Genomic DNA, 27,830 nt, shown 5'->3' with positions numbered 1-27,830 from the left:
GGTCAAAGACTTTTCTTTCTTTCTTTTCTTTTTTTTTTTTGAGACGGAGTCTCACTCTGTCTCCAGGCTAGAGTGCAGTGGCACAATTTCGGCTCACTGCAACCTCCGCCTCCCCGGTTCAAGTGATTCTCCTGCCTCAGCCTCCCAAGTAGCTGGGACTACAGGGGTGCGCCATCACGTCTGGCTAATTTTTTGTATTTTTAGTAGAGATGGGGTTTCACTATGTTAGCCAGGATGGTCTTGATATCTTGACCTTGTGATCCACCCGTCTTGGCCTCCTAAAGTGCTGGGATTACAGGCGTGAGCCACTGTGCCCAGCCAAGACTTTTCAAATGTGGGTGATGACCCATTAATGTGCCATGAAATCAATTAAATGAGAGAAAATAGAAAACAATAAAAGTCATCAAGTACTGTTTAGTCAAGTGTATTTACACACTTGTGGAAAAAATAAATTTTCTTTTCAAAGAGCATTAAGGACAAAGATGAGGAAACAGTGAATCTTTCCATAAAAGTAGGGCTGTAAGCCCCTTAGAATTTGGGGACCCAGGATGAACTTTAGGGGTTTTACAATCCACTTGAATATGTAAAATCTCATGTTTGCAATTTTGGAGGGAAGAAGGTCTACGGCATTCATTAAGTTCAACAAAGGATTCAGAATTCTGAAAGGCTGCTGGGCAGCTCCCCTAGAGAAGTTTAGAAATCAATATTTAGAAATCTACAATGCTATGAATTCTCTCCTATACCTCTGTAATTCCTCAGACAAATTACTTTCCCAAAATTGGACACAATGCAAATGGAGTCCAGCCTCCCAAAATAATCCACAATTCCACCGACTGCTTGTGAGTCCCTCTGCAGGAGGAGGAGGCTTATTTTGAGTTGTCTTCATGCTGCAGCAGCTACCCCTGGGCCTGCCTTTAGTTAGCCAAAATGTAGCCCAGAGAGACTGAAAGCTGGGAAGCTACTCCGAGTGTCTGTCTGCTCAGTACTCTCCTGCAGCTCTCGCGTAGTTCTGGGTTGCTTCTGTCCTCGCTTACAGAACTGCTCTCATCATTTTTCTCCCTGTTGACACTACCTTTCTGAACACTGTCCCTGCAGTCACTTGCTTGCTTTACTAATCTTTTCTTTGTTTTTATTTTCCTTTTTTGTTTCTTCTTCCACAGCATTTCTCTGCCAACACCAATAAATTTGCTTTTCAGAGCAATTCTCAATACTTTTTCTGGTCAATAAACCTATCAATCTCATTGTTAATTAGAATATCAGTTTCTTCGAGTAGTGTTAGTTATTTTTAGTTTTGCTTATAATTAAAACTATTCAGGGTCCCAGAATATTTCCTTCTGCTTCTGAAATCTGGGTTATACTCTTCTTTGCATGCTTGAAATCAATACTTCATCTGTTTTCATGACTACTTCACACATCTCAGCAATGAACTATGCCTCCTATGGTTTCTCTCACAATAAACTCTGAATACCACCTAATTCACCTGTGAACTTACCAGGCCTTTCACAGACACTACCATTGAGTGGGTTGATGCAGGTTGCAGCCTTCAGTCCCCGAGTACTGGGTTCTGATAAAATTCCACAGAATCCAGCATCACTGGGCTCAGACGGCATCCACTGTAGTAAACTATTTGTAAATGGGGACATATCTTCCCAGCACCAGTAGGACACATTGATCTTCCGAAGGCCGACCCATGGGGTTAAGGTGAGCTTGGACTAAAGGCAAAAGAGACACAACTATGAATACAGATAGTATCTTTTTTTAATTTAAATTTTGGAGATGGAGTCTTGCCATGTTGCCCTGGCTAGTTTCAAACTCCTGAGCTCAAGTGATCCTCCCACCTTGGCCTCCCAAAATGTTGAGATTATAGGCATGAGCCACCATGCCTGGCCTGAATATAACCAACATCTTGACCAAAACAAGCTTCTAGATAAAAACCACCAAGTTAAGTATACCCCACAGACATAGGAAAACCTCTTTATCCCTTGACTCAGCCATGGTAGATTAGGATAGATCATCACTTCAATATGGCCATTTTATAAAGGATAAAAATGTAGCTCAGAGAAGATAATATATCAAAAATTCACAGAAATTATAGCAAAGCAATATTTAAGTTCTGAAATGTCTATATGAAGAGATGGCTACCCCCAAACACAGGCTGAGTATCCCTAATCTGAAATCCAAAACACTCCAAAATCTAAAACTTTTTGAGTGCCAACATGATGGATGCTGAAGGAAAATGTTCACTAGAGCATTTTGGATTTCCAGATTAGGGATGCTTAACTGGTTAGTATAATGCAAATATTCTAAAATTCGAAACACTCCTCGTCCAAAGCATTTTAGATAAGGGATATTCAACTTATACCACATTTGCTTTATCCATTCATCCATCCTGGCACTGGATTTTATAGGGAATAATAGGACAGTGACACCTGGGACAGTCTGTCTTCTGCTCTCCTGAAATTTCCTTCTCATTGCAATTTTTAACAAGTTTTAAAAATCAAAATATAAAGTTTAGCCAAGAAATGGTAAGTATTCCTAATTTTGGTAGTTATAAAACAAAAGATATACTGTATTTCCCTCCCTTTGCTTTCTTTTGAGACAGGGTCTCGCTCTGTTGCCCATGCTGGAGTGCAGGGACATGATCATGGCTCACTACAGCCTCAAACCCCTGGGCTCAAGCAACCCTCTTGCCTCAGCCTCCCAAGTAGCCGGAACTACAAGTATGTGCCACCATCATGCCCGGCTAATTCTTTAAAAAAACTTCCTTTGTAGAGACGAGGTCTCCCTGTGTTGCCCAGGCTAGTCTTGAACTCCTGGGCTCAAGCAATCCTCCCTCACTGGCCTCCCAAAATGCTGGGATTACAGGCAGGAGCCACCACACCCAGCCTATTTCCATTTTTGAGAGGAAAAAATACACATGCCTACTAAAAGACCTAAAAATAAACAGATCCAAAAGAAAGAAAGACAATTAAAAATACTTTTTAAAGGCCCTTCAATAATTTCTTTGCCTTCACGATACAATTCAAATCCATTACTATTGTAGCCATGGCCTCGCAGGGTCTGGCCTTGGTTCCTTCCTGAGGCTCAACTATAAAAATCCCCTCCCATCCAGCCTGCAGCCAACCATGCAAACTTACCTGCAGCTCACTCAAAGAGCCACTCCCTTAATCATCTCCCTCTACATCTCACAGATGGGGGCACTAATTAAATCACAGAAAGCCCTTCCGTCTTCGACATCCTAATTCACTCCTTCTCACCTGCAGGGGTCACCTCCTTCCAGCTTTCTACCAGCCAGCCTCTGTCCTAAGGGTTAGGCTAGGTGTCCTTTCTTGTTTTTCCATAAAAATCTGGGCTCTACTAACTGGGCTACATCTAGAGGTATAGCTGTGGAAGGACATTACACTTCAGTTGTCTCTCATCTGTCAGTCTTATCATTAAGACTGTGAATTTCTGTTTCATAAACGTGGCCACAGCAGATTAGAATACCCAGAAACGTTTAGAGTTAGAAAACCTAAGGAAGAGAGAAAGGGTACCAGAAGTATATCTGTGGCCACCTGGTTGAACCCTTTTAACTTCTGTGGACTCGAGAGTCATTGTTAGAGACACCAGGGTAATAAGCAAAGCTGGGTGCCATCCATTTTCTGAGGGAGTGAATAACTATGGGAAAGGTCAGCTGCCAGCCAAGGATGGAATGCTGGAAGAGACCCACATTTGGACATGGAAAGAGAAACAACAGAGACAGTCACCAATGGAGATTCTGAAATCTGAAAAAGCTATCAAAATATTATGAAATACCAAATGTGGTCACAGTAGCCTGAGGTAAACACACTAAGAATATGTCACCAATGTTTGAGTGTCCATACCCCATCTAAGTTGCACTGAAAAAAGGGACTAATTGGAGAAAACTAAATACAGGGCACCTCCTACCAGTCTCAGAATGGCCCTATAGGTGGTACACAGAGGCCACAGGCAGCCGAGACCCAGGCCACATTTCCATACCTTCACATGAAGGAGGCTGTACCCAAGGAAGTGTTGCCCTCAACTCCTCCCTGCTTGGTAAGAACATTTCCACTAAACGTTTCTGTACCACAGCTGAAACTGCTGAAAGAGCTTTGTTCTATGAGTCTACTTAACTGACGGTAGGATCACAATTTATGACTCCAGACTAAAAATGACAAAATGTGATCATGGAATATTGACTATAAGCCCCCTGAGAGCACTGGGTGGACAAGCAGAGAACTTGAGCCTTTCTGGGCTTAGAAACTCTTGACAAGAAGGTGCTCTCTTCTTTTGAGATGGCTGGGCTATGAAAGACCCAAGGAGATGTACATTTCTTTTTTTTGCTGTTCTTTTTTTGTTTTGAGACGGAGTATCGCTCTGTCACCCAGGCTGGAGTGCGGTGGCGCAATCTCAGCTCACTGCCACCTCCACCTCCTGGGTTCAAGCAATTCTCCTGCCTCGGCCTCCTGAGTAGCTGGGATTACAGGCGCACACCACCATGCCTGGCTAATTTTTGTATTTTTAGTAGAGACGGGGTTTTACTATATTGGTCAGGCTGGTCTTGAACTCCTGACCTCAGGCGATCCACCCACCTCAGCCTCCCAAAGTGCTGGGATTACAGGTGTGAGCCACCACATCCAGCTGAGATGTACACTTCTTAGTGGTAATTATACAGTCTTATGCACTATTATAATACCTTAACTCCAAGGAACTCAGGTGGCTTAATCCAACCTAGCTAATTATCAGTGACCTCTCTTTCTCCCCTAGCAGAATCCAGAGGTAAAACAGGTATGAAATAATCTACTGATGTCACCAGATTATGTACACATATACATGTTACAATTCATCCCCCATATAATTATTCATAGATCTTATATATACAAAGTATTAAAAATTTTAAGAGGAAGAGACTCTGACAGCACAAACCCACAGTCCCTCAGGCTGCGTTCACCAGCACTCCCCTTCTTGCCAAGCACGTCACACATATCCACAGCCTTCCACATGCAAGCTGCAGTCATGCCCTTGGTAGAAAGGTGGATAACCAGAAACTTAAGTTTTGAGGATTTTAACTCACCATGCTCTGAGATGACTGCATTATTCGCAGCTGCTTAAGGACAAATTCTACCTTCTTCTGGGTTGTAAGAGAAGCCAAAAGGGCATTGTGGTTCCTACAGAACAATTTAGCATTGTCATAATTCTCCTTGGCAGTAGTAATTTTCAAACATGAGTTTCCAACCAAATGCCAGCCAATGCCACAGATATTTTCTTTCATTAAGGGGAAAAGAGAAAGAAAAGAATTTTAGAAATCAGACAAAACTACTGTATTATGAGTTCAAATTACTGAATACCGAAATGGCCTTTCTAATTTAAATTCTAGGTACTTCATTAGGATGTGGGAGCCTCTGACACATTATTAAGGACCAAATGCAGAATACAAGAATTTTAAAATGTTTACTGGTGATATCTCCCGGATCCTAAAAAGCATATTCTGAGGTCACTTATCCTATGTCTTAGATGAAAACACCAGTTTGGTGCCAATATTAGACTGGTACACTTCCTTCTGAAGAACAATTAGAAAACTAAAATCCTAAGTGAAGAGCAGACAAATGAATATGCATATTGGAGGGCTGGGGTAAAAACTGCAAGAATGGAAATGAATCAAGGAATTAACAAATCTATAGTCTCCAAAAGCTGCACTGTTTTCATATCATCAGGTGGAAGGTACAATCAAGTGTACAAAGCATCCCAAAAGCAAGGTGAGAAGGTCCTTCTTGAGAAACAACCCAAGTGATATGGCTATAGCATACAAGACAAGCTTGTAATCTGCTACCTGTGATCATCCTGAACCCACACAAGGTACTGCACAGAAGCTATGAATGCTTCCTGGAAGACAATGAAAGAACAAAGCAACTTCACCAGAACCAAAGTACTTTGGAGACATCAACAATGTTCATTAACAGTAACAGTCACTGAGATAAAAGAAAGGTACCATGGGAAAGAGATCATTTAAGAACAGACAAAGACTTGCTCCTCACAGTGTAGCAGTCGACTAGATAAAATGCACACTCTAGGCCCCACCCCACACTTGCACCAGAATATGCCTTTCGCAAGATTCCCAGGTCTTTTCCTGTACCTTAAAATTTGAGACACACTGAGATATAGAAAAGAGTCCCACTCTGCAAGCTGAATCAAAAACTTCCAAGGGACATTCAAAAAGGGCCTGGTCCAAACCAACTTCCCTGAACAAGCTCAGATGTTGTGCACAGACAAGGAAGTTCCCCTTTCTGGACCACCCTGGTCCAAATATATCACATGGCTGGCTGGTCTCAGGCCCTGAGTTCATCATCCTGAACCTCAGAAGCAGGATATATTGAGGTTTTCAGGGCTGGAGATCACCCCTAAAAGGTGCTGCTGACAGAAGTATCTATCCTCTCCTTCTCAGAGAAGGCCCATTAGCAGGTGCCAACAATTAAATCCCAGTGGTTAATAAGAAGTACTCTCCATAAAGTGCTCAGCAGACTGACTGCTGAGACATCATGGTCTAGTCCCAGGTTATCAAAGGTGGATGGGAAAGAGACAAGGAGCAGGCTCAGTGATACAGAACCAAGCTGTCACTCAATTCTACAGAGCAGCAAAGGATGTTTCACTTTATTTCAAAGGACAGTAGGAACAAATACTTAAGAACTGTATTTTAGTTAAAAACAAAAAAGCCCATAATACTCGTGTGGGGGATGAATGGACAGAATTAGCTCTTCCCCTCTGCTAGGTTCAACTTAGGCTGCACAGTGTTGGGGGAAGCAGGCTGAAGTAATGGACCCACACACACCAAGATGACCCTGCAAGGCCTACCGGGCAGGGCAATGCACTCCTGATTCCGGGGCTCCCACTGGCAGTTCTGGTCCAGGGCACAGCTCCTGCAGCTGGTCTTCTTGTTACAGTAGTACATGGGGTTATCCTTGGGGCAATTCTCATACCTAAAAATGGAGATCTAGAACACAGTGGACAAAAGCTTTTCTTTTGTATCCACAGAGAGAACTTATGGTGAGGACCAACAGGATATTATAGACAACAAAATCTAATTGAGGAAGCAAACTGCAAATAAATAGATAGACAGATAGATAGATAGATAGATAGATAGATAGATAGATAGACAGACAGACAGACAGATAGATAGATAAGTTGCAGTAGCTCTGCAGTGGGGAACACTGCAATGGAATGTTCTGCTCAAGGACATGCTTTTAACTGGCAAGGAAGCAGCCCACTCTTTTAAACACCATGCCTCAACCTGCTCATCTGTAAAATGGGAATGTTGAACTTGGTGCTTTTCAAATGCTCACTTCAAAAGTCTGAAAGTTTTCTATTTTATGAACTGTATGAGACTGACAAAAAAAAAAGTCTTGTAAGCTGTCAAAAACTATAAAAGCCTGGGTCATCTTATAACTTAAATTTAAAAATCTATATATGATGAGCAGTGAGATTATGCCAAACCAAGATATAAAACAAGGAGATTTTGCAAAGTCTGTCATTTCCACAGTTCAATATGGGCCGCTGTACACCTGACTCACTCTCAAACCCTAACTTTATCAAAACCTGGCACTGGTAAAGTGAGGTCACTATCAGATGCCTCAAACCAAGGATCCAGTGCTTAGTCACAGCCATGCCCAGGGACAACAGTCCTACCTTCTTCTAAAACACAATACACAAATTCCCAGGGCTAGTAGGACCCTTGAAATATACAGAACATCTCTTCCTAAAGGAAAACCTCAGGGATAATAAAATCCAAATAGAAACCCATTTGAAAAGTAACTCTGGGCCATTATTTATACCATATACACTATAAAAGCTAAACCTATGACAAATTGGGATTTTTCTGAAATCTTTAAGAAACAGCCTCTGACCTGGCCTTCTGAGCAGCTGTGGTTCCTGGGGACACAATGGTCATTGCACCAGTGGCAGTCATTGGTGTTGGCTGTGCAGCTGTAACAATCTGTGTGCTGGTCACATCTGTCATGGTCAAGAGCTGCAAAGAAAACAAAATCTCATGAACTGGGACAACTTCAATTGAGCAAAATCTGAGACCGAAGTTAAAAAAAAAATCGTAACAATGGTTAAGAAGTAAAATGAAGAATGAAACTGGCAGGAAAATATATTTGGTATGTTCTGGTTAAAATAATATTTAGAAATAGACAATCTAAAGAAACACTGTTTTGTACCCCAAAGAAAGAAGTACACAGAAAGTGAAAACAAGGATAGGTTAATTTAACAACTGTAAGATATAATGAAAGTAAATTCTGGCTCTTTGAATACTTTTCTTTCCAAGAAAAAAAAAATCAACTAGTAATAGAATGAACACCAAAGAAGCCCAGGAGCCAAAATATTGTAGGACACCAAGTCATTCCTCCTAGTTATAAACGCAAGGCTAATTTGGGCACAGGAAGTAGGCAGCACCACAGAACTGAACAGGAGGCATTAGGCTGAGCTGCATTTTGTACATGCGTGTAAATTCAAGAGTGCAAGTCTGAGAATTTCTGGGCTACTACAGACCTGCCGCATCTCCTGTTAACTCTAGAAAAGAGAAGCTGCATGGCCGGATGCGGTGGCTCATGCCTGTAATCTCAGCACTTCGGGAGGCCGAGGCGGGCGGATCACAAGGTCAGGAATTCAAGACCAGCCTGGTCAACATGGTGAAACCCCGTCTCTACTAAACCTAGAAAAATTAGCTGGGCATAGTGGCGCGTTCCTGTAATCCCAGCTACTCAGGAGGCTGAGGCAGGAGAACTGCTTGAATCAGGACCTGGGAGGCGGAGGTTGCAGTGAGCTGAAATTGCGCCACTGCACTCCAGCCTGGGCTACAGAGTGAGACTCTGTCTGAAAAAAAAAAAAGAGAGAAGCTGCACAACCATGTTGTCTCATCTGTTCAACCATCTCGTGGACATGGCACATGGGGGAATTCACAAACAGGAAAAGGCAGGTGCCGCTCTCACAAAGACCCCAGCAGTCGGCTCCTTAGGCTGCTCTTCCTGTCCTGGTCATTATCCCAAGGACTGGGCCCACCCAGAAAGTGGGGTGAAACAGGGAACTGAAGTCTCAGGTGAGATGACAGCAAATGGGTTGATATGAACACCTAAGGTAATTCAACACTATTTCCTATAAACATGCATATTTAATTTGAACTTTTAAAATTTGGTTTAAAAATTAACTATTTCACTGATTTTATCCCTTTCAAGAGACAAGCTAACCCTGCTAAGTTCTGGTAATCTTGGTTCTCCAGCACCCACCAGCCCACCAATGAACCTGAGTGGGTTGCCTGGGTGGCCTGTTTTTTTGTTTTTGAGACAGAATCTCATTCTGTCACCCAGGCTGGAGTGCACTGGCACACTCATGCCTCACTGCAGCCTCAACGTCCTGGGCTCAAGCCCTCTTGCCTCAGCCACCCTAGTAGCTGGGACTATAGGCGTGCACCACCATGCCCATGCCTGGCTAATTTTTGTGTTTTTGGTAGAGACAGGGTCTCACTATGTTGCCCAGGCTAGTCTTAGACTCCTGGGCTCAAGTGATCCCCATACCTCAGCCTCCCAAAGTGCTGGGATTACCGGCATGAGCCCCTGTGGCTGGCCCTGGGTGTTCTTACTGAGAATTTATATTCGTGAAAAGTTTAACTTGGAGCAGCATCCCAGGAATGAAAGCTGCTTCTATCCATCATAACTCTCAAGTTAACTGCAACACCAATCCTACTAGTAAGAAATTCAGCCAACATACTTTAAATTAATTGATGTAGAGACAACATTCTTACTTTTAAAGAACTTTCTGGCCATGTACAGTAGCTCACGCCTGTAATTCCAACACTTTGCGAGGCTGAGGCGGGCAGATCACTTGAGGTCAGGAGTTCCAGACCAGCCTGGCCAACATGGTAAAACCCCATCTCTACTAAAAATACAAAAACTAGCCGAGCATGGTGGCAGGTGACTGTATAAGAATCACTTGAACCTGGGAGGTGGAGGTTGTAGTGAGCTGAGATCACGCTGCTGTACTCCAGCCTGAGCGACAGAGACTCTGTCTCAAAATAAATAAATAAATAAATAAATAAAATAAAATAAAACAAAAAATAAATTTTTAATATATCGCTTCACTGTACCGCATTGTGCTCTATGTCACAGCAATATAGGACAAGAAGCAAAGCAGGCAGAAGGACGGAAACAGCTTGAAAAACATGGGGGAGGTTCTAGAAGCAGGGATCATCGCCCATCCTCAGTAACTGTCTGTCTTGATATCACTGTTGTATCCAACTAGAGACGCTAGACAAAAATACTTTGCAAGGACAGCAGCTCTCCCTCCCTCCACCAAAAAAATTTACTTCAACATGGCTTTTCTGGGCTGACTCTCCTAACTTCATCCTTAATGTTAGATCTGCATCCAATATGGTAGCCAGTAACCACAAATGTCTTTTAAATTAAAATTAAATTAAATTAAAAATTCAGTTCTTCACTCACACTAGCTACATTTCAAGTATCTGATAGCCCATGTGGCTAGTGGCTACCATATCGGGACAGTCCAGACACACAACATTTCCATCATCAAAAATAAAGTTCTACTGGATGGCACTGCCTCAGAGCAACTGCAGCCAGAATCTGGGGTCAGTATGCAAAGCCTATGCAATGCCAAAACGGTTATGTCTCTATCACTCGCAGACAGCTTCTAGGAGCCACATGGCATGTTCCCATCCGAGATGTTTACAAACCAATTATCAAATATCCAAAAACACTTTGTACAAGTTATTACTGAATAATTTTGGATAAGGTAAACATAAAAAGTATACATATGCTAAGTTCCTTCACAATTCAGATAAAATGAGGTCTCAAATTCATTAAAATCTAAGTAGAGAAAAAAAAACATACTTCTTTTGGAAAAACATTCTGATTTTAACTTTTCTTCTTGTTCATCAGTTGCCAGCGCCCACGAGATACACTGAGACGACCCTGTGTTCCACACACACCGAATACCAGGTCCTGCTGCTAAACAAGCGGCTTCACTCCGATGCGCATCACACTGTTCCGAGGTGAATACCAGGATGTCGCTGAGGAGGAGACTATTGAAACCACCGAACACATACATGGTGCTAAGAGGAAAAAGGGAGAGAAGAAATTTACTAGAGACTCAGATAACAATTGGATGCTATACTTTTTTTTTTTTTTTTAAGAGACAGGGTCTTACTCTGTTGCCCAGGCTAGTCTCAAACTCCTGGGCTCAAGAGATCCTCTCGCCTCAGCCTCCTGAGTAGCTGGGACTACAGGCACACACCACCACATCCAGCTACCATGATACACTTTTTACAGACAATCTTCAAACAAATCTTACATATCATAAGTCTTCTAAGAAATTATTTTTCAAGGTCTTAAAAAACATTATGATTCCCTTCCTTTCCAAATTCCATCCTTTCATCCTGGCCTATAACACACCCAGAATAGTTCCAATAATCTGCCTCCTCGTCATAGCTACTGTATTAAAAAGTTCTCATGATAGCCTGCTGACTTTTAACCATGAGTCACTGGAAAATTTTAGTGTCAGGATATGCTCACATCTTTTAATGCTAAACAGCAATTCTATATCTTCATTTTTTAAATATTAAAAATAAAAATGTACAAATTTAAAGCACAGGTAAAAGCCTCTGTAATTAAAGTTGTGTCATACTGGTACATGAATATGAGCCCAATCATAAACAGATAAAAGCACACATGTACATTTAGTACACAGTAAAAGTGGCATCTTACATTAGTGGGAAAAGATGTTCTTTTTAGTAAATGGTATCAAGATAACTAAACATATGGAAAAAAATAAAATTGAATCTATTTCTCTACATTCTGGGATAATTTCCACATGGATTAGAGCATCTTCTGAGAAAAACAAAACACACAAGCAGTAGAAGAATGGGTGAATTTCTCTATAACCTAAGAGTGAAAAAAAACTGACTTAAAATCCAGAAGGTAGGGGAAAAGAAGATTGAAAAATCTGGTCATATGAATTAAAAAGACGTTTTACATGGAAATAATGCTATAAGCAAAGTAAAAAAACAAATGATATGCTATGAAAAAAAGATTTACAAGTTATGTTATAGGAAAAGGACTATCCCTAACATAGAGCGGGGCTTCAGCCAGTTTGCAGAGAAAAAAATGCAAATGACCTTAAACATATGAGAAGATGCTCTAATTTCAGTGTAAGAAAAATGCAAATTAAAACTATACTGAGGTAGCATTTCTCACCTATAAGACTAGCAAAAAAAAAAAAAAAGCACAAAAAATTGACAATATATGGATTGGTGAGACTATGGGGCAAAAGGCACTCTCACACACTACTGCTGGGCATGTAAAATGATGCAGCCTACAGAGGGATTTGGCAAGCTCTAACAAAACTTTGCATTTACTTTTTGAACCTGAAATCACATTTCTAGAAGTCTAGCACAAAGATAGAATAGCAAAAATACAAAAAGAAGTACATGAGGCTATTCACTACAGCATTAACCCACTTATGCCAGAGGGCAAATTTTTTTGTGAAAAATCAGACCTTGGGGATGACCTTGAGCAGCAGGATATAAATAACTCCCACAAGCTTAGCGTTCCAATAATGGAACACTAGGCATAAATGGGTTAATAATAGCAAAAGACTCAAACAGCCCCAAATGTCCATCAATTGGGGATGTGACAAACTATAATACATCCACATAATGAAATATTAGGCAGATGTAAAAGGAATGAGGAAAATTTCTACATACTTCTATGGAGTGAGCACCAGTATATACTGCTATGTGGGGGAAAAAATGGAACGCAGAGAAAAGTATTCAAACAATGTAGCCATTTATCTATTGAGGGAACTAGAAGGTCAAACACACAAACGTGCACAAATAATTCATTTTCCTTTTTAAAAAGAAGAACACCACAGTTTCTCTTTAACCTGCCTTCTTAAAAAACCTAGAAACAACAGCCAACCCAGGAGCAATGAATACAACTAGTGCTTAGATTGTGCGTATTTAAAAACCATTCTTTCTCCCTCCTGTCACCCCTTAAAAACTAGAACTTTTTAGAGAAAAACCTAATTTCATGTCTGGATGAAGAAATGTTCACAATGAGTCTAGCAGATCTTGTTATACTGGGAAGAAAAGAAAACGAGGGTAGTATCAGATAAACTCAAAAGCTAATGTAAAGATGCCCTCACTGGCTAAAGATGGAAAATGTTTGAAATTTAATAAAAACACAAACTACAATAGATTAAAACACATGAAATATTTTTAAATCCATGAGTTCATAATGATACACATCTCCCATCCCCTGAAAAAAAAAAACAACCTAATTTGTCATCTTTGGACAATACTAAGAAATCACTACATTATTTTGAAGATTGGTAAACAAAGGGAAAGAAATAAACCTATGAAGTGATCTTGCCAAAATACTGAAGTGAATCTGATCAAGTTAATTTGTAGGAAGTTTAGGAGAGAGACCAATATGTTATATGAAAGCCCAGGATACAATAATCAAAATCTGGACTACGGGAAACTCTACAGGACAAACAACCCAGTCTCTTTAACAAGTAAGGGGGAAAATGATGGATGGGGTCCCTACAGATCAAGAGAAACTTCAGAGACATTTTAACCAATTGTAACATATGGATCTTATTTGGATTCTGAGTTGAACAAACTAAACTTAAAAAAAAAATTGAGACAATTAGGAGATGTAAACACTGAATGGACACTGAGAGATATTAAAGAACAACTTTTTTTTTTTTTTTGAGTTAGAGTCTTGCTCCATTACTCAGACTGGAGTGCAACAGCACCATCATAGCTCAGTGCAACCTCAAATTCCTGGGCTCAAGCAATCCTCCCACCTCAACCTCCTGAGTAGTTGGGACAACAGGCACGCACCACCATGACCAGCTAATTTTTGTATTTCTAGTAGAGATGAGGTCTTGCTGTGTTGCCCAGGCTGGTGTTGAACTCCTGGACTCAAGCAATCCTCCTGCCTTGGCCTCCCAAAGCGCTGGGATTACAGGCGTGAGCCACCACCCCTGGCTTAAAGAATAAAAGTGTAATAACTGCATAGGGGTTGTGTTTTAAAAATTAAGTCTTCATCTTTAAAAGACAGCCAATCCTCATTATAGTCATGTATGTGGTCCTGCATAACGATGTTTCCATCAATGATGGATGGCATGTACAATGGTTGTCATCTAGTAATCTAAGGTTAATTTATTATTGAAGAAAACAATTTTAAAATAAATTTAGTGTAGCCTAAGTGTACAGTTCACAAAGTCTACAGTAGTGTACAGTCTACTCACTCACAGACCTCCCCAGAACAATTTCCAGTCCTGTATGCTCCCTCTCTTCATAGTAAGTGGCCTGTACAGGTGTACATTTTTTTATCTTTTATATTGCATTTTTACTGTACCTTCTCTATGTTTAGATATGCTTGGACACACAAATACTTACATTGCATTACAATGACCTACAGTATTGAGTATAGTAACATGCTGCACAGGCTTGTAGCTAGGAGCAACAAGCCATACCATATAGCCTAGATGTGTAGCCTAAGTTTATGTAAGTACACTCTGTGATGTTGGCACAATGATGAAATTGCCTAAGGATGCACTTCTCAGAATGTATCCCTATCATTCAGTGACACATGACCATATCTGCAGATTGTAGATTCCATATTTGCAAATTCACGTACTTATAAAATCTATTTCTAATTCCAAAATCAATACTTGCAGTAGTTTCATGGTCATTTACCAGCATGTGTGTGCAAAGAATGGCAAAAAATTTGAGTTGACACACATGCATATTACCGGCTAAGGTCAAACAAGGAGATGCTCTCCCTTCTTGTTTCAACTATCATACTACAAACAAGTGTCCCTTCCATGATGTATCTAGTGCCATGTTTTATGCATTTTTGTGCCTTATGTTAGTGCTTTCACTGCTGAAAATGGCCCCCTATGCAGTGCTGAAGTGCTGTCTAGTGTTCCTAAGTGTAAGAAGGCTGTGACGAGCCTTACTGAGAAAATACGTGTGTTACATAAGCTTTGTTCAGGCATGAGTTAAAGTGCTGTTGGCTGTGAGCTCAATGTTAATAAATCAAGAATATATATTCAACAAGATGTTTTTAAATAGAAACACACATAAAAGAAAGTTATGTATGCTGACTGGTTGATGAAAATGTCATCAGAGGTTTATAGAAACATAACCCTGTATTTCCCCTAGGAGCAATAATTCAATATTCAAGAATTCAGTGTTTATAGTTACTTTATAGAGTTGTGAAAAATGAAAACAAATTGTTATCTGAAATATATTTTTTTTGAGTTAGGGTCTCACTCTGTCACCCAGGCTGGAGTGCAGTGGCGTCATCATAGCTCACTGCAGCCTCAAACTCCTGGGCTCAAGTGATCCTCCTGCCTTAGCCTCCCAAAGTGCTGGGATAACAGGCATGAGCCACCATGCCTGGCCTAATCTGAAATATTTACTGGTAGATTTCAAAAACTAAAAAATTAATATAAGGTTTCTTTCTCTTTTTTTTTTTTTTGACACAGTCTCGCTCTGTTGCCCAGGCTGGAGTGCAGTGGCGCGATCTCAGCTCACTGCAAGCTCCACCTCCTGGGGTTCACATCATTCTCCTGCCTCAGCCTCCCGAGAAGCTGGGACTACATGCGCCCGCCACCACGCCCAGCTAATTTTTTTGTACTTTTAGTAGAGATGGAGTTTCACAGTGTTAGCCAGGATAGTCTTGATCTCCTGACCTCGTGATCCACCCGCCTCGGCCTCCCAAAGTGCTGGGATTACAAGCGTGAGCCACTACGCCCGGCCAGGTTTCATTTTTTACCTTGCTATAGGCTTACTCAGTACCACATTAAGCAGGCTAGATTCAACTAGTTAATTTGTTGCTTAAACCAAATAAGCAACCTCCTCTTCCCAGTACAGTTGGTGTTCTCAGCAATTGTGAATCCATCTGGTTGCACAGGGGCTCTGCAAAGTTAGGGAGAGTCTCTCAGAGACACATGGAGCAGGCAACTGAGAGGCACAGCTGCATCTCCTGCCGCCTTGGTATGTCACAGCCATCTCTCCTCCTCCTTCCTGCCTCCCTCAAAACCTCAATGAAAACCAAGGAAGGCACAGCTCACCCAATGCTGTTGATCCACTTAAAGCATGAAGAAATGCTGTGAATCGAAGTTTCTTTTTCAGTAAATTATTTCATAAAATTAAACCAAAACTATGGCCTTTTAGTAGCTGGCCTCCCTCAGGGTCTCCTGCCACCTACCCAATCCTGTCTCACACACACAGATACTTACATATCAGGGTTCAAACATACCACTGGAATCACATAAAATGAAAACATTACAACTCAGGCAAGGCATTCCCAATTTTGACTCATGATTAAATTATATTTTATGGTAAAGTCTCAACTTCTCTGAGTTTGAATAAAACCTAAGAATGTTTTATAAAAAATTCATTTGTTTGCTAGTTATGACTGTACTAATACCTGCCATTTAGCAAATGTCTATTATGTGCCAAATCCTGTGCTAGGAGAACTAGGAACACAAACGAAGACAGTTGAGGCCAGGCTCCCACAGGCATGATAATGACAAAATGGTCCCACTGCGTTTCAGATGAAAATCTCAAGAGGCACTTGCTAGAAAGCTTTAAGGGTCTTCTGTACTGAGGAAGTTCAAGATTATGATTTATAATAACACTTCAAATTAGCAAGGTGGCCAGAAATCCTTCCATTTTAGTCTCTAGCTGTCAAATGTTCTCATAGTAAAACCATACACATTGCTAAAAAACGAAATAATTACCTTATATAAGATAGCACCTTTTCCTAGTAGCTAGTTCCTAAATTGTCTCAACTCTTCCTTCACAACATCTCCAAAATATGTCACCTTCTCACTTTTCCTTTTTTTTTTTTTTTTTTTTGAGATGGAGTCTCGCTGTCGCCCAGGCTGGAATGCAGTGGCATAATCTTGGCTCACTGCAATTTCCGCCTCCTGGGTTCAAGTGATTCTCCTGCCTCAGCCTCCCAAGTAGCTGGGACTACAGGTGCCTACCACCACACCTGGCTAATTGTTTTGTATTTTAGGAAGAGACGGGGGTTTTGCCATGTTGACCAGGGTGGTCTGGAACTCCTGGGCTCAAGTGATCGGCCCTCCTCGGCCTCCCAAAGTGCTGGGATTACAGGCGTGAGCCACCGTGCCCGGCCTCTCATCTTTCCTAATCTAAGTGAAATTACCTCATCTGTCTTCCATCGTTACAACAGAAATTTCAAAAGCCAAAGGAATTCTAACATGATGCAGGCATTATAACGCTTAAACATCCTTAGGATTTATATGGCTTAGAATTTTAAAAAAGGGAAAGTAGACAGCAGTAGTAATAGCAGAAACTGAATGAGAAAAATTAATAATGTGATTAGGCTGTTTAACTTCTTAAAAATCTTTAAAGCACACTGTAAGGAACAAGTAGAGTGGCCACTCTGAATCTCCCTTATTTGACTGAGACTTCTCCAAGGGCCGATTTTTTGAAGAGCTCTGGTAGTTTGGGCCAGGCATTTTTGAGCGATAAAATGCAATGAACTGCAGACTTCTGATTATCCAGAGCCTACAGACTTGAGCTATATTAAACTTCACAATCTCTCCACCTCTGTTCTCCTACCTTATCCCCCCATCTGAAGTGCCCTCTCTCCTCTTTTCCAAACTTCTTACTATTCAGATACAACTACTAGGAACTTGACAACCTAAATACCACTAACAATAACAAAGGACATAAGACAATGACATGCACGTAACTTTTGTTGCCCCAGGCACTCAGACCACACCAAAAAGCATGCTCTTGCGTGCTAACAAAACCAGATCAATAAACATGGCATTCAAAGTAATTCACCTCCACATCAAATATTTTAAACATAAATCAGAAAATTTATACCCACATAATCCTGTAAAAAAACTACTGGGATGAGGGAATCTTGTGAATAATATGTTGAGTCCAATTCCACTTTACTTTTCTCTTTTTTTTTTTTTTTTTTTTTTTTGAGACAGAGTCTTGCTCTGTTGCCAGGCTGGAGTGCTGTGGCGCGATCTCGTCTCACGGCAACCTCCAACTCCCTGGTTCAAGTGATTCTCCTGCCTCAGCATCCCTCGTTCAAGCGATTCTCCTGCCTCAGCCTCCCAACTAGGGGGGATTACAGGCACGCACTACCAAGCCCAGCTAATTTTTGTACTTTTAGTAGAGATGGGTCTTTACCATGTTGGCCAGGATGGTCTTGATCTCCTGACCTCGTATTCCACCCGCCTCGGCCTCCCAAAGTGCCAGAATTACAGGCGTGAGCCACCGTGCCCGGCCCTTTATTTTCATTTTAAACACAAAAGAAAAGGAGCAATCACTTCTCCAATTACCTGTTGTGTAAGACTGCTGAATGGCCAAATCTGTTGACATCATGGTGGAGATCAGGTCTGGGAAGCACTGACCAGCGGTCACAGGCTAGGAGAAAGAAAAATATATTTTTAAACGGACTACCATTTCTAATCAACAGGACCTGACATTTTCTTTGGGAAAAATACTACAACAAAGAGAACCTCATAAAACATGCCTCTCAATTTTCTCAGTTACAACATCATTTCTGGGTTAAAATGAAGCAGCAGCAGAGCAACAGGGCATGGAAGAAAGGCGGGATCATACCACAATTCTAACTAGCAAACGCACCCGAAATCCATGACATCTGGATCACTCACCCAACTGCCTATCAGTTTGATGCACTAGAATTGAGACAGAGTCTCGCTCTGTCACCCAGGCTGGAGTGCAGTGGTGTGATCTCAGCTCACTGCAAGCTCCTCCTCCCAGGTTCACGCCATTCTCCTGCCTCATCCTCCCAAGTAGCTGGGCCTATAGGCGCCTGCCACCATGCCTGGCTAATTTTTTTTATTTTTAGTAGAGATGGGGTTTCACCGTGTTAGCCAGGATAGTCTCAATCTCCTGACCTCGTGATCTGCCCACCTGGGCCTCCCAAAGTGCTGGGATTACAGGCATGAACCACCACGCCCAGCCAAGAATGTTTTTTAAAGCAAGCAAATTTTACATTCTACAAAGCTTATGTCAGCAAAACATGGGTTTCATAATTATTTTCCACTCTTTTCTATATTGATTTGCTCAAATTTAGTAGCTAAAATGGAAAAATAAAGGTGGAAAATGAAATTTCAAGAAATTTAAATGTCACCTAATTTTTACAAAGTCCTTTCCTAGATCCCATAGATTGATTAATTTTCCCTTGTTGTGACCCATACTAGCAACTTCTCTTCTGGATCTAATACCAACTGGTGCTGCTATACCATGCCAACCTCACACTCAGTGTCTCACTCTTTGAGCCCTTAAATATGTGCCGGTCTTTTCCACCTCTGTGTCTCTGCAAACTGGGTTTCCTCTGCCTGGAGAGTGCTGCCTAACTTCACCTACCTGACACCTAGTGTCCCCAAGGACCCAGAGAGGATGGCCCCTCCTTAAGAAAGTGTTCCCTGTTTATCACTCTACCCTCCATGACTTAAAGGGTACTCAGAGGTGCTCTCATACATTCTTTTCAGCCAGAAACACCCTGAAGTGCAATTCTATTGTCTGCTCATTTCTCTACCTCTTCTACTTTGAGGCTAAGGGCTTTAAGTTATTCATCTGATCTCCTCAATGTACAAACTGAGTGGCTGGCACACAAATGTCTGTTAAAAACGAATGTCTGACTTGGAATAGTCAAAATCACAGAGACAGACTGTAGAATAGTGGTTGCCAGGCATTGTGGGGAGGAAGAAATGGGACATTATTGTTTAATGGGTATACAGCTTCAGTCTTACAAGATGAAGACAGTTCTGAAGATGGATGGCGGTGATGGATTTATAACATTATGAATGTGTTTAGTATCACTAAACTAGACATTTAAATATAGTTAGGATGGTAAATTTTATGTGTATTTTACCACAATCAAAAAAATAATAATTTGTTTAAAATGAACATCTGACAATTTTTATGAAAGAGATCATCCGGTATGCATTTGCTTTGCATGAACAAATACTGCCCTCTTCTGGTCTGGTATATTGCCACACCAAGACCATGTGAGAAACCAGTTTTCTAGGGAATGAGATAAAGCTAATACGTGAACCAATTTTAACACAATGCTGGTGGTTGCAACTATGTAACACTACCAGGTAGGCATAACATGACAAAGGAGAGACTAGACACCTCAACTCAGCCTTAAAAATTAGCATTCAAGCAATTAACAGGAGTGATTTCAAAAAGAATTTAATGTAGAAATAATTTTTACCAGATGTGTAACATTAGTCAAATGAATATAAAAAATACCATTTGGACCTCTTTCAAATGGCCTGATCATTTTGAACTGGCAATATTTTCAGTCTCCTTTTAAATGCTGCTTATAGTATAGGCAAAAAGATGCCTGAAGAGAAAATGGTTTTGGGAAACTTACCAATGTCATAGGCCATGAAATCTGAAGAGAAGCATTTGGCGCCATGGCTCATAGATGTGTCATTGTGTGTGTTTCCTCCAAACACCAGCATGGTTCCACTCACTATCACAGCTGTGTGCAAGTAACGGAAAAATCGGCTGTCCTTAAGAATGGTCCTTTTGAGTTTATTTAGAAATAATAAATACAAGGTTAGTTTTTAAAGAATATTTATGTATCTGCTAATGCAAGCACAACCACTTTATTAACCTCAGACCCAAATGTACAAATCCTTCCAGAGTTTTCCCTACATAAAAGTAAGTTTTTCAACAATAAATACAGATAATTTTAAAGACCTGTAAGAGTTTTGGCAAAATATATTAAGAACCTTAAACTCTTCATACCCCGTAGCTATATAATTCCAGTTTCTGGGCAGAAATCATGTGAAATATTGACAGAAGCTTAATGCATAATGGTTTCTTAATGACATAAAAACTAGAAAGAAACCAAAACTTTCACCTGCATAGTCTCAGCATACCCACAAAATGGAGTATTGCACAGCTACTAAAAATGATTATTTTTATGACAGAATATAAAACAGTACCCATAGCAAGGTATCAAACATGTGAGGAAAAAGAGGAGAAACCATCGCTTTATAATTACATTATTTCGTAACTCAAATTTGCTTTACATTTGTTAAAAAACTCTAAGTATTTTCTAACCAACCTGCTACAGAATTACAGAATAACGTAACAAAATAAATACTAGCTACTTTATTACCCTCTGTTTATTTCCCAATTTCTCTATATATAATGCCGAACAGAATTATCTGCCAGGCATGAAAACAAAAAGATAGCACAATATTTTCTCCACAATTGCCTCTACAGAATTTACACCTTAAAGTGAAAGCTCAAGAAAAAGTACCCACCACATCTGGGTATCCACATCATATCGGTAGAGATCATCTGCAAGCCGGTACTTATTGGCACTGAAAGCCTTGTAGCCACCATGAACGTATAGGGCCCTGGTCCTATGGTCGTAAACACTGCTATGGCCGTAACCCCCTTGCACAAGGGCACCCTGGGTGTGTAATATACTCCATGTGTTCTTATCTGGAAAGGAAAGACAGTTAAAGGCAAGCATGGCAGGCTCCTCCTCTCTACTACTGAAAATGTCCAAAGAGCTTAGGGCATGAGAATGGATTTCAGGAGACCTGATACATATACTTTTTTATCTTTATATTTTAAAGAAAGCCACCTAAAACTTATAACAAAGCCATGTGGCCCAATTCCAGTCTGTTCTATGTTCTGATGTTCTAATATGCCATGTAGGAAAAGAATTAACTAAATTTAAAACACTCAGGGCCAGGCGAAGTGGCTTACATGTGTAATCCCAGCACTTTGGGAGGCTAAGGTGGGAGGATCACTTGAGGCCTGCTATGTTGGCCAGCCTGGGCAACATAGCAAGATCCCATCTCTACTAAAATTAAAAAATTAGCCAGGAGTGGTGGCACGCACCTGTAGTCCCAGCTACTAGGGAGGCTAAGGTGGGAGGATCACTTGAGGACAGGGCATCAAGGCTGCAGTGAGCTATGATTGTGCCACTGCACTCCAGCCTGTGTGAGAGAACAAGAGCCTGTCTCAATAAATAAAATGTTCACTCAAATGAACATTTAATTCCCTACAACCTTTGGTGACCAATATACAGATATATTTTATAGGCCTACTTTCACAAAATGTTAATTATACCTGGTATTCCTACTGCACAACAACAGATACAATGAAATTTAACCAAGGGAAATATTTCATATTAAGGGTAAATCATACTCCACTAAACCAATCTCTAAAGGGCTGGGCAAATATTTTTTTTCTTCAATATTTATTGTTTTGAACCATTTTTATTTATTTATTTTAAATACCCAAAGCACTTTGCGTCATCTTTGGCTCCTTACCAAATTGACAGTAACAAATACATACTACATAGGAGCATCGATAATCTGCATTTCACTGGTAATACATCAATGTTAACTATGTTGCTTTTGTTTGTTTGTTTGTTTGTTTGTTTTGAGACGGAGTCTCACTCTGTCCCCCAGGCTGGAGTGCAGTGGTGCAATCTTGGCTCACTGCAACCTCCACCTCCCGGGTTCAAGCGATTCTCCTGCCTCAGCCTCCTGAGTTGCTGGGATTATAGGTGCCCGCCACCAGGACAGGCTAATTTTTGTATTTTTAGTAGAGACAGGGTTTCACCATGTTGGTGCCAGGCTGGTCTTGAACTCCTGACCTTAGGTGATCCGCCCGCCTCAGCCTCCCAAAGTGCTGGGATTACAGGAGTGGGCCACCACGCCTGGGCCCAGTGTTTACTATGTTTCAAGATAAAGTACCGAATCAAGATTAGGTTGAACTTTTCTAAACAGTCAAAATAATAAGCTTAGAGGTTTTAAATCTGATGTTCAAAAGGCATCTACTGGAAAAAATATACCTACCCAAATCATATTCCTGCACATTGCTTATATATCCATAGAGAGGGCAGTGACCAAAGATGACCAGCATGACCACTCGGCCATTCTTCAGTGTAACAATGTGTGCAGAGTGCCCAACCACTGCATACTGCTCCTTTGCCTTAGGGGTCAACAACACCCATGACTCATTATGAATGTGAAAAACTCTCAACTCATTGGTCACATTCCCAGTTGAATCAATTTTTCCTCCATACATGTAAATTTTATCCTAGGAAAAAAATGCAAACAAAATTTTTAAAAACATTGAAAAGATTAAATCTGAGAACAGAGAAGAACAAAAGCTCAATATTATTCTCAGCTTAAAAAAGGTTAGTCAAGAAACTAAAAATAGAACTACCCTATGATCCAACAATTTCGATACTGGGTATATATCCAAAAGAATGGAAATGAACATATCAAAGAGATATCTGCACTCCCATGTTAATTGCAGCACAATTGACAATAGCCAAAACATGGAATCAACGTGTCTATCAATGGATAATTAGATAAAGAAAATGTGGTGTATATATACACAATGGAGCATTATTCAGCCGTTAAAAAGAATGACATCCAGTCATTTTGTAGCAACATGGACTGAACTGGAGGTCATTATGTTAAGTAAAATAAGCCAAGCACAGAGACAAATATCACATTATCAATCATATGTGGGAACTAAAAAAGTGGATCTCATGAAGATAGAGAGTAGACTGGTGGTTACCAGAGGCTGGCAGGCTGGTGGGGGAGAATGAAGAAGGAAAAAAAGAATGTAAATATATTTATTACCACCAAACTGTACACTTAAAAATGGTAAAGATGGTACCATTATATACGTATATTTTACCTCAGTAAAAAATAAATTAAAAAAAATTTTAAGGGTTAGCAAAAGGCGCCTTTCAGTGAGTTACTAGGAAAAGGATAAAAAAAGGGAAAAGGGAAATAAAACTAATCATATTTTACATCTCTAATACTTCACCAGTTTTCTTGGACTTCCTCACATGAATCTTTTATAGTATAAAAGGACTTGGAAAAATAAAGTTGCCTCATCCTACCATCTATCTATAAAAATGAGGAAATGAAAATGTTTGTTCAGCCACATTACAATGTGGCTATTCTTGGCTAAACTTGCTTATGAGAATAAAAGCTAATCTACACTTTTTAATCTACATCTTTAACCATTTAGTGCCATTATTATAATACCCCATTACAGTTTGAAGCCATTAAAATCTCTTGAGTTAAAAAAGTTTCCATTTTAATTTCTACTTATAACTTAGCCAATTATATAATGCCCCCAATAAAAAGTTTTCCCCAATTAAAAACCAACACTGAGGTAGCTTTTCAACTATGTAATACATGAAGTAACTGAGGAAAACTTAGTTTCTTGCTTAGCACAGAGTGGAGATGCTTTACCTTGTATAATGCCAAAGAATGACCATATCTAACAACCACATTGTTCACAGAACGGTTTAGTGGAAGCCACTCCCTAGAAGCAAGGTCATACCTACAAAACAAACAGATCATATTTTCACCCAACTAATAAGACAGAACATCTCATACTATTTTATTTGTGACATAATCCAGTTTGGAGATGCTCACTAAATCCACCATGGATGTAGGGGGGCACTTGTCACCTTCACAAATAAACCTGACACCTGGGCCCACTGGACAAGTGATAACTCAGGAAGAGGAGCTGGACTACAAAATCCTGGGAAAAGAAAGGAATACAAAGCTACTGGAAGGTTCTAACACTTCCTGAAAACCTCTTCTATACACAGTCTAAATCATTTAAAGGTTGCATTGTACTCAAGGGACTCAAAATTTTATTACAATAACTTTTCTTTTATTTAATCATGAGAAACTGAAGATAGGTACCAAAAAAGGGATGATAATTAAGTAAAAGAAAATTACTAATCTTTCCTTTTCTTTATATAATTGACTAAAAATACATTTTCAAAAGCCAGAATACCATTATAGCATTTCACTTGTACTACGAATATAAAGACCTTAAAATACAAAAATGCCAAAAAGAAAATAATTTATAATCCTGCCATGCAATTTATACTTATTAATGCATTATTCAATAATCACATTCAGTATCTTAAAGTACTCACTTTTGAGTTTTTGCTTTTGAGAAAAACTCTACTGTTTTTATAAAAATCATACATGTTCATTATAAAGAATGTAACCAATACAAAGAATAAAGAGCTAAAAGTTTTTTTTAAAAGATGCCACATTCCATGATCTAGAAATAAATATCATTAAGTAAACATCATTCCAGACATCTTTCTATGCATATGAGGATACTGTTAATAAAGTGTTGATTTTAATTATTTTCATAAAATAGAAAAAAAAACAAAAAGAAATGATATTGTTATATCTTAAGTAAATGTTTCTTTTCTATAAAAGTTTACCTGGATATTCCAAGTATTTAAAAAATCTTGAAAAACATTATCATATATAAGCATAAAGGTATAAGAAAGTTTATCACAATAGCAAAAAAGAATACAAATAAATGTCCATCCATTGAAAATCAACAAATAAATGGTAATATATCCAGATAGATAACATAAAGAATAAGTATACAGAATGAAAAATATACGCCAGCAACATATGTCAACATAAATCTCAAAACAATGTTAAGCTAAAATAGCACACTGCAGAATATTGTTTCTATAAAGACTAAAAACAGAAAATTTATTAATTCTACTATACTTTCATATATCTGTAATGTATAACATATATGTAAAGTATAACATATATATGAAAGTATGAACAACTGACACCAAAATCAGGATACAGGTTATCTCTGGGACTTTGGAGGGACATGCAAGGGACTTCAACTGTGTTAGCAGTGTTTTAATTTCTAAGCCGGTGGTGAATCCATTGGTGTTAATTTTCTCTAAGCCTTTCCTTTTATCTTAAATATTTTATACAAGATCTGAAGCAAATACAACAAATGGTGACAACTATTAAATATTAATTGCACATAACTATTATTTTACATATTTTTGGAATATTGCACTCTTAAAAATACATGAAAAATTATTTAGAGGTTGAATTTAAAGTTATATGCAATTTATTTTTGTACAGAATTCACTAACTTCTTGCTTTGAAAGTTGAAAAATCTTAGCACTCACATTGCCTCTCATTTCTTCTTCCAATTTTTGTTATAAAATTTTTACAATGTCCAGGTCCTTAACATTTGCACTACATTCAATAACAGTAATTCCATAGTTATTTAGTCCTGAATTTTAGCTGACTCAATCTCCTCACAGTCCTTTTACCACAACTTCTCTTTCTTGAGCTCTTCAATTCTCCTCTGGATTTCACTGTCAAGAGGGTTTTTGTTTTGTTTTGTTTAAGTAGAGCTCATAGTACTCTTTCCCTGAATTCACTCTTGTTTGAGAATATCTGCCTGCCAGCTTTACAGCAGAATGACACCTTGGCTGGGTACACTATTCTTGGACCATCCTTTTTTTCCTCCAGAACTTCGCAGATGTTGCTCCCTTGAACACTGCTGGTACTGAAAATGTTGCTACGGAGAAGTCTGTGGCCAGCTTATTTCCCTCTTTTTTCATGGTTTGCTTTTCTGCCTGGAAGCCTGAAGAATTCTGAATCATTCTCATTCTCTCTTCTTCTCTGCCTACCCGCAACCTCTATTTTTTTTATGACATGATATTGTATTTTACTTCAAATAGAAATAAATCCATCCAGGAATATGTTTTTATAAAATGGACTGCATACCACTGCAAAGCTTTTTTGGAATTCTGGCTATGAAAGGTGTTTCCTGAGAAGGACTCATATAGCTTCCAACTACACATATAGACTTTATGTTCAAGCCAGAGGCTTGTTTCTGTATGTTTAAAAGAAAGGAAAGAAACAGAGGAAGGACAGAAACAGGTCTCCACATTTCTGTTAAAGGGCACGGAGAGTGCCCAATCTGTCTCTTAATGTATTTTGCTCCTCTTCTGTCAACAAGTCAGACCAAGAGCTTGTCAGAGACACATAGGTGCTGGCAGGTCCCCATAATCTGGCTAAGGTGAACCATCAGAAGACACTTAAACAACATGCTGTTAATCATCTCTCAACACAGAGAAAAAAAAACATAAGACAAGAACGATACTGATGCAATAAAACATAAATTTTATGTTTTAAAACATAAAAAAGTATCTCGTACAAAAAAGTACAAGATAAATGCACCTTCTGGGAGCTGAATCCAAGATAACAGAATAGTGAACAACTAATTCTAAGACCTAAGCAAGCAAATAAGCAAAGATAGATTCCAGAAATTCAGAAAAAGATGTCTTCCATAGAGTGACAGCACCTCCCTCGACCCCTCTAGGATGGCTGGCAAGCCAATGACCATCATGTACCACAGGGTACAGGTTTCAAACTCCATAATGGCCTGGTAACCCAATCGGGCCACCTAAAGACCAAGGCAAAGGCTCTGTGGAGACTAGACATGACCCCAGACAGCAGATAGCACAGAACTACCTGAGGCCTCCCAAATAATAATTTGTCCTTTATCCCAAAAGTTCAATGACTTTATTTTTCTTGGATACACTCCAAGCACAAAAAGCTCAATAACTTGATCAAATCAGGTTTTGTCATGAAGAAACTATAAAATTTTTCTGAAACACCTTGTGCTGTTTCAATCTGTCTGTTACATGTGTTAGGTTCTTTTCTTCAGTGACTGCAATTATAGTTCTATTTGATCACCTTCTGTCCTTTGTGTGTTTTTGCTTTTCTGGTTTTTTTCCCAATGTATTACTACAATTATCTCAACCTGTCAGTAATTAAATTTTCATTCTAATTTTTGCTGTATCTAATTTATTCGTATTTCTTTAGGCCTACAACCTCCCAATTCTTCTGTTATT

General features: G+C 39.5%; 1 protein-coding gene across 4 annotated transcripts in view; it reads right to left on the bottom strand.

Annotated features, from left to right (window-relative positions):
• Nucleotides 1-27,830, bottom strand: part of ATRN (attractin) — a 180,101-nt gene that overhangs the window by 67,272 nt on the left and 84,999 nt on the right. For all 4 annotated transcript variants that reach the window (NM_139321.3, NM_001323332.2, NM_139322.4 and 1 more), the window contains exons 7-16: nucleotides 24,364-24,454; nucleotides 22,942-23,185; nucleotides 21,388-21,571; nucleotides 20,484-20,638; nucleotides 18,415-18,499; nucleotides 10,896-11,116; nucleotides 7,899-8,020; nucleotides 6,850-6,988; nucleotides 5,075-5,265; nucleotides 1,493-1,712 (exon numbers count right to left, since the gene is read on the bottom strand). In NM_139321.3, the coding sequence (NP_647537.1) occupies nucleotides 1,493-1,712; nucleotides 5,075-5,265; nucleotides 6,850-6,988; nucleotides 7,899-8,020; nucleotides 10,896-11,116; nucleotides 18,415-18,499; nucleotides 20,484-20,638; nucleotides 21,388-21,571; nucleotides 22,942-23,185; nucleotides 24,364-24,454 (1,652 nt within the window). The remainder of the gene's footprint in view (nucleotides 1-1,492; nucleotides 1,713-5,074; nucleotides 5,266-6,849; nucleotides 6,989-7,898; nucleotides 8,021-10,895; nucleotides 11,117-18,414; nucleotides 18,500-20,483; nucleotides 20,639-21,387; nucleotides 21,572-22,941; nucleotides 23,186-24,363; nucleotides 24,455-27,830) is intronic.

Source organism: Homo sapiens, chromosome 20 (assembly GCF_000001405.40).
Source record: "Homo sapiens chromosome 20, GRCh38.p14 Primary Assembly".
NCBI lineage: Eukaryota > Metazoa > Chordata > Mammalia > Primates > Hominidae > Homo > Homo sapiens.
The sequence above is the reverse complement of the archived record's forward strand: the minus strand, read 5'-3'. Positions and strand labels throughout refer to the sequence as shown.